Genomic DNA, 15607 nt, shown 5'->3' with positions numbered 1-15607 from the left:
GAAATGCAAATAATAATTTTAAAAACATTTTTAGGCACTCTGCTTAAGAGAAGGAGGTTATGGCATGAGGAAAACAAAGAAACAAATAAGAGTCATAGCTCTTGCTTTAAAAATAAAATGGGAATCAGGATAAATTTAATCATAATAAAAAGAATTGGCTGCAAATATCTAAATTCTGCAAATGGGATAGATTGTAATCAGAAACAGTTATGCATGTGGTCACTGAAAATATTCAAGGAGAAGCTAAAAAATTTCTTTTGTAGGTAGAGTAAAAGATTTCTAACTGTATAGTATTTTATCTATATCATTAGTGGTTCTTTGCATTTTCTACCCAGAGCCTTTTGTTTGCGAGCAATGGAACCCATGTAAACTAGATCAAGAACAGACAGTAAATTGTAAAGCTTTGAAGGGCCTCACAAAATCCAAGGATGGTAGTGAAAGGACTACTTGACCTCATGGCAACTGGCAAGATTTTGGGAGCTGAGCTGCTCTGATAGTCTCTCAGGGACTATATGATTTTCATCTCACTTTCTTTTTTTCTCTCTGCTCTGCCCTATCCTCCTATTTCTACAAATAGACTTAGTCATCAGCTTGCACAAATCTGAAAATGTCCACCCCACAACCCAAGGGTATATAATCTTCCAGCTGCAAAGTCTACAGCTTGCTAGTGGGAATCTTTAAATCTCTAATTTGACTGGATTTGCTCATCTGTTAAAGCCAGGCCACCAAAGTGAAAAGTTTTCTGTATAACAAATGTCACGGCTGCTTTTATTTCCAAAGACAATTTTTGATTCAAGTAACTGTGGCCAGAGGTTGTGGTTTGGGGTTGCAGCCATGGATTGCATTGAGATCATGCTGACCTTTTAGGAATTGAGCAGCTCATTTATCAAGAAATGTGTCCATTATACTTATTTTCTAATTAATATCAAATTAATTCAAAATTATTTCCACAAGTGATTTAATAAACCTTGCTCTTTGAATTTCTCATTTTCAGATTCTACTGTCCTCATTATTTCTTACCAGTACCATTATTATTAAAGCCTTTGAGTTCATCTCTTTGCCTCCAGTCCTTCTCCAGTCAAGGGTACCTTACCTGTGTTGCTCTCTTGTTTAAAGAAATAAAATAATCTTTAAAACCTCCTCATTACCTTTAGAAGAAAATCTATCCTTTAAATATTCTACAATGTTCCTGGTACAGTAGACCCTGTCTTCCGTTCTATCTCGTATCTTGCTATATCCTCATATGCCAATATCTCAATCATCCTTATCACTTATTCGTTATTAATTATCATCATTCTCTTCCTCATGATTGTTTTGTTTTGTCCTTTGTAAGTTGACTAAATGTGATCTATTTATAGCCTAGGGGATTCTTCATTTTTATTCAGCATTCCACGTAAGCTTTAATTCACCCAGAAAGTCCTCTGTGATCTCTTGATGTTGGGTTTTGTTTCCTTTTTTCTGCATGTGTGATTTCATGGTACACTCCATTTATACTATTATCATACTTCTACCCTAGTGATTTAATTATCTGTCTCTTCCACCATTCTTTAGTTTTCTGAAGGGCAGGGATATTATCATTCATCTCGAATATGTAGTGCCACATTGAATTCTAGACAAATTACAACTAACTACTTAATTGGTATTTTTGGATGAATAAATTTTGTACTATTTATGCCAATTTGATTTACTGGCATGGCTTCTATTCGCTGGGAATAAGTAAACTGGTTGCAAAGTAATTCAAGTTATTGCATTGAAATTATTTTTGTAACTCAGACCAAAGAATTGAAACTTCCTGCATCTTGAATTTATAAAAGTTTAAGAGTACATTAAAAAATTTATTATGATGTTGTCTGTCAAACAACTTAGATAATTAAAAGGGAAATCAGATAACTTAATATATTGAAATCTGAGTTTTCTTAATTATGTAAATACTGCATACAAACATAGTAAGATTTCTGCCTAAAGTCACAATTCTAAATCATTTTAAATTTCAATCACGAGCCTGACTTCTATCTCTAATAAGGACAGAATGTCTAAAACATTGCAAATACATAATATTCCAAATATGTAGAGATTTCTTTTTAAACACATATATTATATAATGTGTTTTTTTTTTTCTCTTTTTTATCCTCCTCAATTTTCTCTGGGCTTATCCAGGCTTACTATTTACTGTGTACTACTAAGGAGACTGTACCCTCTTCAGCTGATGTGCTGACTTTTCAACTAGAGATTGTGGCTGAGCAGGAGTTGAATAGCTGTGGACATTCCGAGTGGTTTTTCTGTTCATTCCAGTTGCCACACTTCGCCCTCTTTTAAAATAATAAACTTGAACAATTTTTTTAAAAGTTGCTCTACTGCATCTTGCAGTTCACAAACTCCAGGTCTGTTCACAAAGCTTACATTCCTGACCTAGGCTATTACATCATTAGATTGGATCTTGCATTTCTTTGGCTCTTAGGAGAGAGTATTTAAGTTCTATTCACCTTCTGACAGAATTCTGCCTTCTTTTTAAATTTCTTCCTATCTTGAAGCTCCAAATTTTCAGGATACTAAAATTGTGTTCATTTGTATTCTGAATATCTGTCAAAGCTTTGCTTAACCCAATAGTAGTTAGCAAAATTTTCTGTAAAGAGCCAGACAGTTGATATTTTGAGCTTTGGGAGGTCATAGAGTCTGTGTCAGCTACCCACCTCTGCTCTTGTGGCTCAAAGGCAGTGACAGACAATGCATGAAGGAATGGGTGGTCATGGCTGTGTTCCAATAAAACATCTTTATGGATGCTGAAAGTTGAATTTGATATAATTTTCATGTCATATAATCTTTGAAAGTTCTTTTTCTTCTTATTTTAGTTTATAGCATTGTATGTGTTGGTCTACATCATTTTTTTAAAAAACTTTTATTTTAAGTTCAGGGGTACATGTGCAGGTTTGTTACACAGGTAAACTTGTGCCATGGTTTTTTTTGTACAGATTGTTCCACCACCAAGGTATTAAGCCTAGTACCCATTAGTTATTTTTCTTTATCCTCTCTCACCTCTCACCCTCTACCCTCCAGTAGCCCCTGTGTGTGTTGTTCTCCTCCAACTGGACAATTTAAAAGTGTAAAAAACATATTTAGCACCTGGACCATGCAACAAGTAGTCAGCTGTATTTAACCGGAGGAGCTGGAGTTAGCCAACCCCCATTGAAAAATTACAATTTTTAAAGGCATTCAGCTGACATTGAACAAAAAATGGCCTTGCTTGCCTTTGTATTTTTAGTGCCTGGAGCAATCCTGGTATATGAATCTCTCTCTCTCTCTCTCTCTCTCTTTCCACTGCCCCCCCGCCACTCTTTGTGTGTGTGTGTGTGTCTCTCTCTCTCTATTTACTTGGAATAAATATACAGCTTATATTCTCCTTGGGAGGTTATTTCTTCCTGGTGGACTATTGGATTGGGTTTTTCTTCTCTCATAGAAGATTGAAAATAGCAGAAAAATATAAATTCAAGAAAATTAAGACATTACTTTATCACTTGATGCTGAAAAAGTAAATAAAATATTAGCAAATAGACTCAGGTGTCTTTTTGATTGACTATAGAAATCTATGATGACTTTGTTTTTATACTTCATGGCTTATATCTTTATGTAACACAGAAAAGTACATATTTTGTAGTATTTTCTTTGTTTAATGTAGTCCATTAAAATAAGAATAATTCTCTTGAGGGTTGTCAGTTTTATCTTTTCTCTGACACATTGACTCTGAGAGACTGTGCCTTTCTTGATTCCAGATGAAGTCATGCTAGTTGCATTAATGAGTTACAAATTAAGATGTTTGATATGAGTTTTCATTTCTTCTTCTAAAATTGGGTCTCCAGCTACAGTGCATTAATTTTAGAAAAATAATCTCATATTAGAATATGATACATTTTACTGACACTAAAAATGTCATAATTGTCTCTTTTCATAGCTGTTAATCTATTTTTTGTACTCATTGATTTCTATATAATTGTAGAGTGCTCAATTACTCTTTTATACATAAAATATAATTTTCTGTTGTTTTTCATGCTGCTGATTCGGTTGTGTGGGTGAGCACTGCAGTCCCATGATTCTGAGAAAAATAAAGCTTGGCTTTAGCACATTTTCTCTACTGCTGATTATAGCGATAATTATTCTGATGTTGCTATGGAAATGCTTTTCACAACACATTTGTAGATTGTTTCTAATATTGGTGTTATTTTTCTGTGTATTTATTAGTAAATATATTTATAAATTCGTGAACTTAAATTATATTTTGTGGTCATAGACAATTATAAAGCATTGCTGCTTAGGGATGAACACATGTACTCAATAATTTGAATAGAAAGCCAATTCTGTTGTCAGGAACTTGTTTTATTTCCCCTCATACCTAGAAGTTAGTTATATTTGCCTGATTCCACTTATAAATCAGCCAGGTTTGAAATAAATTCAGTCTCTAGACTATATAAAGTGCGTACGGATATTTTCTTCAGTAGAAAGCTGACACTTTACCTAATTCTATTCTGGAACATGGAATTCTGTGCATTTTACCTAATCATTTTGTTGCGCTTCTGAATTCTTGTTACCCATATCACTATCTGAGTTCTTGATTTCTCTTAATTGATCTGTCTGCTTCAAGATGTACCCTCAGATCCTCTGTCTATTGTTGGTGACTGCCCTAATTTTTGCTCACTTGATCAATGGCACTCTCTCATTCATTCAAAAAAATACTGAATATCTGCTAAGGGGTAGGTACTATTCTAGGAACTGAAATAATGAGGTTAATAGAATAAATAAAAAACCCTCTTTCATGGAACTTACATTCTAGTAGGAGTGATTGGTGGTGATTATAAATGTTGTCTTAGTTCGTTCAGGCTGCTACAACAAAATACCATAAACCGAGTAGCTTATAAACAACAGAAGTTTATTTCTCACAATTCTGGAAGCTAGGAAGTCCAAGATCAAAGTGTCAGCAGATTTGGTGTCTGGTGAAAGCCCAGCAGATTTTCATTCATAGGTGGTGCCTTGTGTCCTTATATGATGGAAGCAGGAAGCAGGCTCTCTTAGGACTCCTGTAAGGTCACTAAACCCTCATGACATCATCTAATTCTAATTACCTTCCAAAGACTCCACCTCCTAATACCATCACATTAGGTGATAGAGTTCCAACATACGAATTTGGGTGGAACATAAGAATTCAGTCCATCAGAAATATATAATAAATTGTAATTAAATAAGCATTAAGCACTAAAGAAAAAAATAAAGCAGGGAACACCGAAGGTATGAGGAAAGGCTTGCCTGAGAAGGTTCCATTTGGACATAAAACTCAAAAAAGGAAGTAAAGAAGGAACTATGCATATATTTGAGTAGGGGGAGGGGAGGATGTGTTCATGTGGACCTTGCTAAGATTAGTCAGAAGGCTTTGAAAGAGACTAAGAAAAGTGGAAGTCAATACAATGAAGAGACAACTTCTTCAAAGAATTTTACTCTAAACAGAAGCATAAAATGGAGCTCCCCGGGGTGTATATAGTAGGAGTAAATACCTAGTGTTAGAAAATGGAAGATGAGAGTATTAATAATATGTTTTCTTAGGATGATTGAAATTGTGGCATGGTGGGAATGGTTCAGGAAAGAAAGAAAAGTAATGATGCATCAGATGCCCAATGCTGGTTTCTTGGTCTGTTTCTGTGTCTTACTTTTACAGTGCTGACACCTATTAAAATAAAATATTGATTAGCTGAATTCTTGAAGGCAAAGAAAATGACTAAATTAAGACACGAATATTTTTATTGTATCATTGGCATGGATTTTGCAAAATTAATCCTCCTTGCCATCACCACTTTACAATTATGTGAAGTTCCCACCATCTTGGTATTGGTATTATGTGACCCTATTTGTTCTGATCAAAGGCTAATTTAAATTCTCCCAGAGAATAATTCTGTATTTTAACTTTTAGGTCATACCTTCAGCTAGAAGCATAGGTACAAATCTGTTATGAGAATTCTAATATATGAGTGACTGTATCTACCAATTAAAATAGATATCAATGATATGCAAACTAAACCTACTCAGAACCACTGGGTATTGAGGAGCTAGAGATAAATACTAAGCAAAAATGTTAAATATTTTAAAAATTTGTTGCTTCTATCTTTACAAATCAACATTAATCTAAAAAGTCATAGTGTTCTATTTCCACAATCATAAAATATGAGGATGTATTAACAAAGTTGTCCATTCAGCTATTTGACATCCTGTAAATAATTAGTTGAATGACCAAATGTTTGCTTTATACCAATCCTAGTGATTCTTTGATAATATAGTTTTAGAAATGGCCTCATTTAGGACTATATGTTAAAGCAACAGAATCCCAGCTAATACTGGCTTTAAACAGTAAAGAGATTTACTGGTGACTCAAATCCAGAAATAAGGCAGGATTCAGCAATGGTGGTACAGGTCTTCAATCATGTCATTAAACACAATTGATTGTGTTTCCCTGCTCTTCAGTTCATGATATTATTTCCATCCCCAAACAGGCAAAAGCTCACAGCCACAAATTGGCCTGCATTAGCAATCAGGGCCACATGCACCCTTATTCTCAACTATCAGGAAAAAGACCACTCTGTTTCTGGCATTCCAAGTAAGAGGTTCACTGAAATCACATCCCTATGCTGACATTTGAGATTAGGGGAATAAAAAATGCTGTCTCAAGCTAAAAGAGTTATCTGAAGGTAGGAGATTAATTGGCTTTCCTTAAACTACAGGGGTGCATGTAAAAGGCTAAATACCTAGTCTAATATCTAAGTACTTGGAAAGGAAAAAAGGATTCATCAATGTCTGCTATTGAGACCTGAGACCTGGATTTTTAATAAGGAGTTTTTGATTTTCTAATTTTATATTTTTTTTTAACCAATGACTAGATTACTTAGACTAGAATAGTGGGAAAATTTCTAAGAATTTTGTTGTGTATCTATATTATTCTAGCCAAAAATAAAATATGTTCTGATTACTGAATTTTATAAATGAGATATGGTTCTTGCCTTTGTGGAATTTGGAATCTCACTGGGAAGAAAGTCACTGATGAGCAACAGTTTTTCATGTCCAGTGTTGTAATGGAGTTAGTAAACAATATAAGGAGAACATATATAAGGGTTCTGCATTAATTTCCAGTGCTTGGAAATAAATCACCACACATTTAGCAACTTAAGACAGCACACATTATCACAGTTTCCTTGGTTCAGGGATCTAGACACAATCTAGGTGAGTCTTCTGCTCAAAGTTTCAGAGGCCAGATTTGAGTCCTCAACTGGAGCTCAGAGCCCTCTTCCAAGCTCACAGGGTGGCTGCTAGAATTTAGGCCCTGTGATTGTAGTACTGAGACCCTCAGCTCTTAGGGGTTACCTACACTTTCCTTCAAGTTCAGCAGGAATATTTCCCTTACCTGCAGGGTGCTTCATATCTTTTTTCAAAAGAGCTTTTACCTGGTTTAGTCAACCTCATCTAGAATAATATTCCTTTTGATTAACCCAAAGGCAAGTGATTTGGGACCTTCATTACATGTGCAAAAATCTTTTCACCTCTTCACCTTGGTGAGGGGCAAATCACAAGTTCTGTAACATAAGAGGGAATGTATAGAAAGTGAACACCAGAGGAAAAAATACCAGTGTCTTGACCTTGTCCATAGGATCTATCCATCACAGGAGCCAAATTGACTCTATCTAAAGGGGTAGAGAATTATTAAGGAATGTGTCTTAATCCTTTTGAGTTGTTATAACAAAATACCATGAACTGGGTAACTTATAGACAGCAGAAATTTATTTCTCACAGTTTGGATGCTTGAAAATCCAAGATCAAGGCACCCTCAAATTCAGTGTCTAGTAAGGACTCAGTTTCTGTTTCATAGATAGTTGTCTTTTCACTGTAACTTCATATGGCAGCTTTAATTGGTGAGGAGTTTCAGACTCTTTAATAAGGACACTAATCTCATTCATGAAGGATTTGCCCTCATCAGCTCATCACCTCACAAAGGCTTCATTTCTTAATGCCATCACCTTGGAGGTTAGGGTTTGAACATATGAATTTTAAGGGGATATATTTAGACCATTTCATTCTGCCCCATCCCCCAAAAAGGCATGTCCTTCTCAAATGTAAAATGCATTCATTTCAATTACCCCAAAAGTATTAACTTGTTCTAATATCAACTTAGAAGTCTAAAGTTCACATCTCATCTAAATATTATCTAAATCAGATATGGATGAGACTCAAGATACAATTCATTCTGAGGCAAATTTTTGTCCAGTTGTGAACCAGTGAAATAAAACAAATTATGTGCTTCCAAAATATAATGGTGGGACAGGCAAGGAAAGACATTCCCACTGGAAAATAAAGAAATAGGAAAGAAGAAATAAATGATAGGTCCTGAACAAGTCCAAAACATAAATGTTGTGGAAGAATCTTCTTTGACTCAGTTGTCTGCCCTTGAGGCCCACTGGGGCAGAGGTCTCCTTGTGGACACAGTGGGGTAGAGGCTCCATCTTCTCAGCTTTACTGGGCAAATGGGCTCCAGGGCTCCAGGCATCCCTGCTTGGTTTTGCTGGGTGCGGCCCACACCAGAGCTCTTCTGTGCTGGAATAGAACTCTGGTTGCTCTACCAGTCTAAGGTCTTGAGGGTAGAACCAACCCTATGGCTCCACTGGGCATTGACTCAGTGGGGACTGTCTGAAGTGACCCCACCCTCATGGCAGTTCTCTTCCTGGGCACTGATGTTCTTCATGACTTCCTTTGAAAACAAGATGGAGGTAGTCACTCCCACAGCTTTGCTGGGGGCAGCAGAGGCATCATACAATGTGTAACATGTAAGTATGGTAGTGGAAAATAAGAGAACTTTTGTAAGACAGATAAAGGAGGGAAAGGCATCTAGGTAATTAGATGGTCCAAAGTTCTAAAGGTTCAGTTTTGTTCTAAGAATTTTTCATTGTTTATATTTTTGGAAGGTATGGGCAAACTGATGTTTCATTAACCATGGTAGTAGATGTAAAAAAAGCAAGACTGTGACCAAGGTTTAGCAGCTATTGGTGGGTTAATTTGAGTTTAGCAAGAAGTATGGGTGGAAAAGTTTAGTCTTAGGTCTTGTTAAGTTAGTAGAAAATTTTCGTGTTCTAAGCGTTCCTCACATTGTAGAGGTAAGCTCTAGGTTTTTTTGGCAGCACAGTGTACAGATACCACCCCCAGGAATGAGAAGGGTAGTTTAGTGAAGATTTTATTAGAGGGTTCTATTATTTAATGAAATAATATTTCCCAGAGGCATGTAGATGAAAAAAAGGATGGAGTATTCAATAATTAATAATAATTCAAGTGTTCTAATGACAAAAATGTGCTAAGTGAGGTGCATGCATGTCCTTGAATATGACTAGCAGAAGAGGTAGACAGTAAAGAACATTTATGTTGAAATACTTTTGTGTTTTTAATTAGGAAGATACGTTTTGGAATGGGTCAACCATGTGAAGATTAAAACATCTCACAGGGATAAGAATATAGGGGGTGGTCAATTCTAAGGAAGATGTAGTTTGTACAAGTGTCCTAGGAATAAGGAACTATTTACTAACTAGAAAAATGCTAACAAACTCCTGTGCCTAGTATATGTGAAGTCTGTGGGACTGTGAGAGACTATTTAGCTATTTAGCAAAACTCTTCTTCTTTCTTGCTGGGCACTTGGCTATAATGTATATCCCATCCTCCCTTTCTGTCAGGAGCAGCCACATGACAGATTTATCGCCAATGAAATAGTGGCAAGATTAGCATACATAGGTTTCTGGCCTGGCCAAAAAAACAATCTCATGTAATCCTCTGATAGATGAGTGTTGATCCTTTGAGCAAACTAGAAGCAGCATGTTAAAGATGGCAGAACCTCCATCAGCCTGGGTCCTTGAGTGAATGTGGGGAGAAAATTCCCCCAGTCCACTAATTAGAAAAACCTCTATTGAGATTTCAGGATTTATTTGTTACAGAAGCTACCACTACCTTAACCAATACACAATATTGTCTCTGTGAGTGAGGATCATAGGACAGTGATGCACTCTAAATAAAGTTTTTGCAGTCAAAGCAAGCTGGAGAAAAACCGTTCTGTGAAGAATCAAGGTAGATAAGAGTTATTTGTCATGGAAAAGGGCTTCTGAGGAAAAATTTGGACGGCAGGGAAGTGATTAGGTTAAAATTTGGTGAAATGAAGCACAAAATATTAGTAGTAGTGCTGTAATTTTTATAAAGATATATTTGCAGCAGTGTAGGATGAATTATAGCACTGAGCTAGCAGGAGCCTGATGACAGAAAGCATGTGTAATTTCTCATTCAGAAATTTTCCTATTGTATACTTACAGAGATGTAGTGCTGATTGATTCAAATTTTTGTATTTAAATCGCTCTGTATAAGCCCTTTTAGAACTTTTTTTTTCAGAGAGTGAATCTTCAGAAAGAATATTCTTTTAATATATCATATTTTTCTGATCATGCAAGACATATGTAGTTGCATCCAACTTTCCTTATATTGTAGTGTATCTATAAAATCCACAGTAGATGGTTAATATTTCTAAAAAGAAGGTGTTTGTACACATAGGAGAGTATTTATTTATTCCCTGTTAAGGTGTAGGCAGTGGAATCAAGAAGAAAACAGTAGCCTACAACAAATTATTTTGAAGCAATTCAATAGCTAGCTTTAAATATCTTGCATAATGAATGTTTGTTGTCCAGTTTCAGATTTTTTATATTTTTGCTTCTTTCACATCTATAGATTTAATACTTTCAAAAAGCTATTATGGAACAAGTATATGTACAATGACTTATTTCAAATATTTTATTTGATTCATCTTTATTCCAATAGGTAAATGCATTTTATGATCATGTTTGGTTGGAAAAAGAACAATTGCAAAAATTAATCCTTTATGTAACAATCTACAATGTAAACTTTATAAACAAAATTGAGCAGTCCTGGATGCAATTTAGTTTCATAATACAAGATCATAGATTTTTACAAAAAATGTGCAATAATTTTTTTTTTTTTTTTTGTGAGATGGAGTTGCTCTGTCGCCCAGGCTGGAGTGCAGCGGCGCGATCTCAGCTCACTGCAAGCTCCGCCTCCCGTGTTCACGCCATTCTCCTGCCTCAGCCTCCGGAGTAGCTGGGACTACAGGCGCCCGCCACCATGCCTGGCTATTTTTTTTTTTTTTTTTTTTGTATTTTATTAGAGATCCTTGTTAGCCAGGATGGTCTCGATCTCCTGACCTCGTGATCTGCCCGCCTCGGCGTCCCAAAGTGCTGGGCAACGATTTTAACAAAAGGCTATGAATACTTCAAACACTGTTCCTTTGGATGACATTACTTTTCAAAATTGTTCTCAAATAAGAAAATGTTAGTATATTGCACTTACTGCATATGTACACTGTACTTACCACTGTGGATGATACATTGCAGATGAATCGTTTCCAAAGAATAAGTGTTTAGTAAATATCAGAATAAACCATCACCAGCTCAATTAGATGATAAATACGTCAAGTTATCACTCACGACAGTTACTATTTTAAACTGCATTTGTGAGGGGCTGTTAAAGAGGGCATGCAGAAGGCTCAAAACTCACCTTGATCTTTTGGTAGCGATCTTTACACCGCACTTTTTTTTTTTTTCTCGTGATTCCTGAAATTTCTAGAAACAGTCAAGAATGCATTGTATTCCATTGACTCTAATCATTGAGTTATAGTCTAGTCATTCTTTTGTGAATATTTAGGACCTCACTTTTGTAAAAACATGGCATAATTTTTGGAATTATATGATTCCCTAGCACTATATACAAAATAGAGCAACATATAAATAGACATTTCTGCTATTATGTTTTACAATGTTTATATCATATGACACCTCCCTTCCTCACCCCCCCTAAAAAAATCTGCTATAATGATTTCCCATTGCAGTTCTAATAGGAACAAACCCTCTTCCTGGGCTACCAGGCACTGCATGGTATAAATCCTGCCTACTTACTCTCTCTCTCCTCTTGACACATGCACTGTCACTGATTCTGTGTTCAGCACCCTGGCTCCTAGAATATACCATGCATTTCTTACCAACAGAAGTGTGTGGGGATGCTCTCAGGAAGGGTGGTCACCACCTCCTGACCCTCTTCCTCTCAGCTGTTGTCTTAACTGACTACTTCCTATCCTTCAGATCTCAGTCACCTTGTCTGTCTTGTTATGTACTATTCTGCCAGACATGTCAAAGCACCTGACATGTAGTAGGTGACAAGTAATATATGTCAAAAGAAGAAACGAAGAAGAAAAGAAGAAAGAATCAAAGTGAAGGAAGGAAAGAACAAGTGTTTATTGCATACTTTGTGAGTTACAAGTACAGTAGTCCCCACATATTCATAGTTTCACTTTCAGTTCAGTATTGTGGTTTCGGTTACCTAAGGTCAGTTGTACGGCTCAAAAATATTAAATGGAAAATTCCAGAAATAAACAGTTTATAAGTTTTAAGTTGCTACCCACCATTCAGAGTAGTGTGATGAAATCTCATGCCAACCTGCTTCGTTCTGCCTGAGACATGAATCCTCCCCATATCCAGCATATCCATGCTGTCTGCACTACCTGCGCGTTAGGCATCAACATCATCTACTCCTGACATCCAGCCATCAACATCATGATAGATCAGTGATCCAGAATCACCTAAAGCAGATGATCCTTCTTCTGACATATTGTCAGAAGGGCCAAGTAACCCAGTGTTAAATGCCTACATCTTTTACCTCATTCCATCTTATCACATAGACATTATATCATCTCACATCATCACAAGGAGAAGTGTGAAAACAGTGCAGTAAGATAATTTTTGAGAGAGAGACCACATCCACATAACTTTTATTAGAGTATGTTGTTATAATTGTCCTATTTTATTTTTGTTAATCTCCTACTGTGTCTAATTTACAAATTAAACTTTATTACATGTACATATATACAGGGAAAGACATATATAAAATTTGGTACTACCTGTTTTCAGACATTTACTGGGGATCTTGGAATGTATTCCTCCATGGATAACGGGGGACTGTATATAAACTGAAAAGTCCATTTTAAAATTAATCTTTCTTCGTTATTATAAGTTCTGAATAGCAATTTGTGTTGTTTGCTTCTATAGCTAAATGCTGTGAAGGTTTTAGGAGCATGTTAGTTAAACAAGGTCTTGAGACATTTCTTTAAGTACACGATTCCATGCCATTTGATATATTGTAGGTCACTTAATGGTTCATTATAGTAGCGGAAGCGACATCACTGTAAACAGTCAAAGATACAGACCTGCGACTAACTGTACCCCTATAGGCTGTCCTATTGCATGCTTATGTAATGTGGGTCTCTCTATAATTAGATAATCAGTTTAAATAGTTTTTACTAATGTAATTTTCTTCTCCATTTCCTATTAATAGCTTGTCATGGTTGATTTACCTGATGTAATTAATAATTTGGGAACTACATTGTGACTGCTGAAAGACAGCATTAAAATTAGTCTTTAAGTATTTTCAAGTCTTTTAATATCCTTCCTTAAAGACAGATTGAGGAGAATAGAATCAATTTGAAGATAATCAGTTCCAGCACAATATTAATATAACCTATAGTTATTTTAATGGACCAATGTAAGAGTTTATTCAATTAGTTATCTCATATATTTTTAATCTTTGAAAATCATATTGTTGCTTTAATTGAGGTAATTTCCATTTAAAAGGTAGGAGATTTAGGAGGAAAAGTTTTTAAAAAGGGAAGAAAAGTTTCAAAGTATGTTATATGACAAAAAGAATAGAATACATTTGTTTATTTTGTATATCATTGGCTTTACACAATTGATTTTTCATTCTACCTTCAATGAGTAGATCAAATAGGCTTTAAAGGTTTGTTTTATCTTAGGGTTTATTCTATATGACTCATTTATTCAGTAAAATATTTGAGCAGCTTTAACCTGACGGACAATATTCTAGTTAACCTAAAATATTATGTCATTAATTTACTCAGTAAATATTTATTGAGCTCTTATTACATACTAGCCACAGTTTCACCATCTGAGACAATAGCAATAAACAGAAGAGTCTTTGCCCTTGTGGAAATTATGGCCAAGTAGGAAAAGAGGCAACTATTAATAGATAGATAGATATTATAAAAAATGATAAGGCAGGGAAAGTTTGTAGGGAGTTCTGTGGAAGAGAAAGAAATGCTTAGAAAGGTGAAGGTGTCAGTAAGAAAGTGCTTACCATGATGGGTTGTACTATCTAAGATGAATAGCTAAATGCTTAGAAAGGTGAAGGTGTCAGTAAGAAAGTGCTTACCATGATGGGTTGTACTATCTAAGATGAATAGCTAGGGAGGTGAGAACATGAGAAAGCGTGGAGGAGTGATCTGCAGTGGATTTGGTACTCCTAGCTTTGAAGAATTACTGAATCTTGGCTATTTGAGGGAGTAAAAGCATTGGAAATAGAGAAAACTAGTAGATAGAGAATGAGATGTTTAAGGTTGAGATTATGGAATTGGGGTGTACTTGTTGTTATTAGCAGGACATAGATATGACCTTGAAAGTAGATGGCTGAGATATGATTCAGGATCAAGTCATTGTAAAAGAGATGGTCAATATCCTTCCATGTTGGTATTGGATCATCAAGAATTTTGACTGGAATAGTGAAATTGGCCATGATCCAGGTGTTAAAATCTTTAAGGAAGTAAATCTGGGGCATTTTTTGTGTGTATGTTTTGTTTTTTGTTTGTTTGTTTTATTATACTTTAAGTTCTAGGGTACATGTGCACAACGTGCAAGTTTGTTGCATATGTATACATGTGCCATGTTGGTGTGCTGCACCCATTAACTCATCATTTACATTAGGTGTATCTCCTAATGGTATCCCTCCCCCCACCCCACGACAGGCCAATCTGGGGCATTTGTAAATTATTACAAGGAAAGGTAGCAGGCAGTGTCACCTGAGAGTAGCAGCCTCAAAACTGTATGTTTTCAGGAAAGAGAAAGGCTAATAGCTTGTATGTGGTAATGAATAGTAAGAATTCCTAAAGTCGAGGCTGCATCAGGTAACTAAGAGAGTTTCATAACTAACCAACGTTTCTGTGTTATTTGGTGAGTATAGTGGCTTGGTGCTCAACACCATACCAATCTCCTTTTAATGGTCCTTGAAGAATTGCAGAATATGGAAAGCTACAATCTACATCTTCAAGATTCTCTTGCAACTAGTGTTCTCAATGTGATGGAGGTTCAGTCAATCTTAACCTTTCTCAGATAGCCGTATTTCAGTCGCTCCTGTTCTATCTGCCAACAAGCACAGTCAAAGGCATGTGGAGTGTTTCTTGGCAGCATTAGCCGAGGTCTCGGCACCTCGTCAGCAACTTTGAGGATCTTGAGAAGTGTGTGGAATGATTTTCACTGGTGCAGGCTGTAGAAGACATGCTGGGTTTCTGGAGCTGCTACAGCTACATATCCTTCCTCATCGTTGCAGTAGTGGTGGAGAACTGAAGCTGGTGACTTCCTAACTTTGGAAGAGACAGTAATTCTCCTGGATCCTTGTTCTGCCGGGTAGCTTTAGGATTAGTTAC

The 15607-nt window shown here is 35.9% G+C and overlaps 1 protein-coding gene and 1 long non-coding RNA gene across 47 annotated transcripts in view; one reads left to right on the top strand and one right to left on the bottom strand.

The window, feature by feature from the left end:
- Nucleotides 1-15607, top strand: part of PPFIA2 (PPFI scaffold protein A2) — a 501376-nt gene that overhangs the window by 226481 nt on the left and 259288 nt on the right. The gene's annotated exons all lie outside the window — the stretch shown is intronic.
- Nucleotides 1-15607, bottom strand: part of PPFIA2-AS2 (PPFIA2 antisense RNA 2) — a 141042-nt gene that overhangs the window by 25277 nt on the left and 100158 nt on the right. Inside the window, exons 5-7 of one of the 3 annotated variants that reach the window (NR_199034.1) lie at nt 11620-11684; nt 10366-10544; nt 7792-8770 (exon numbers count right to left, since the gene is read on the bottom strand). The exons of 1 other annotated variant lie outside the window; for it this stretch is intronic. This is a non-coding gene — a long non-coding RNA (PPFIA2 antisense RNA 2). Of the gene's footprint in view, nt 1-7791; nt 8771-10365; nt 10545-11619; nt 11685-15607 lie in introns of those variants that run through there. One more of the 3 variants, NR_199033.1, reaches the window with a different exon arrangement.

Source organism: Homo sapiens, chromosome 12, assembly GCF_000001405.40.
Source record: "Homo sapiens chromosome 12, GRCh38.p14 Primary Assembly".
Taxonomy (NCBI): Eukaryota; Metazoa; Chordata; class Mammalia; order Primates; family Hominidae; genus Homo; species Homo sapiens.
This window is presented reverse-complemented; position numbering and strand designations above follow the sequence as displayed.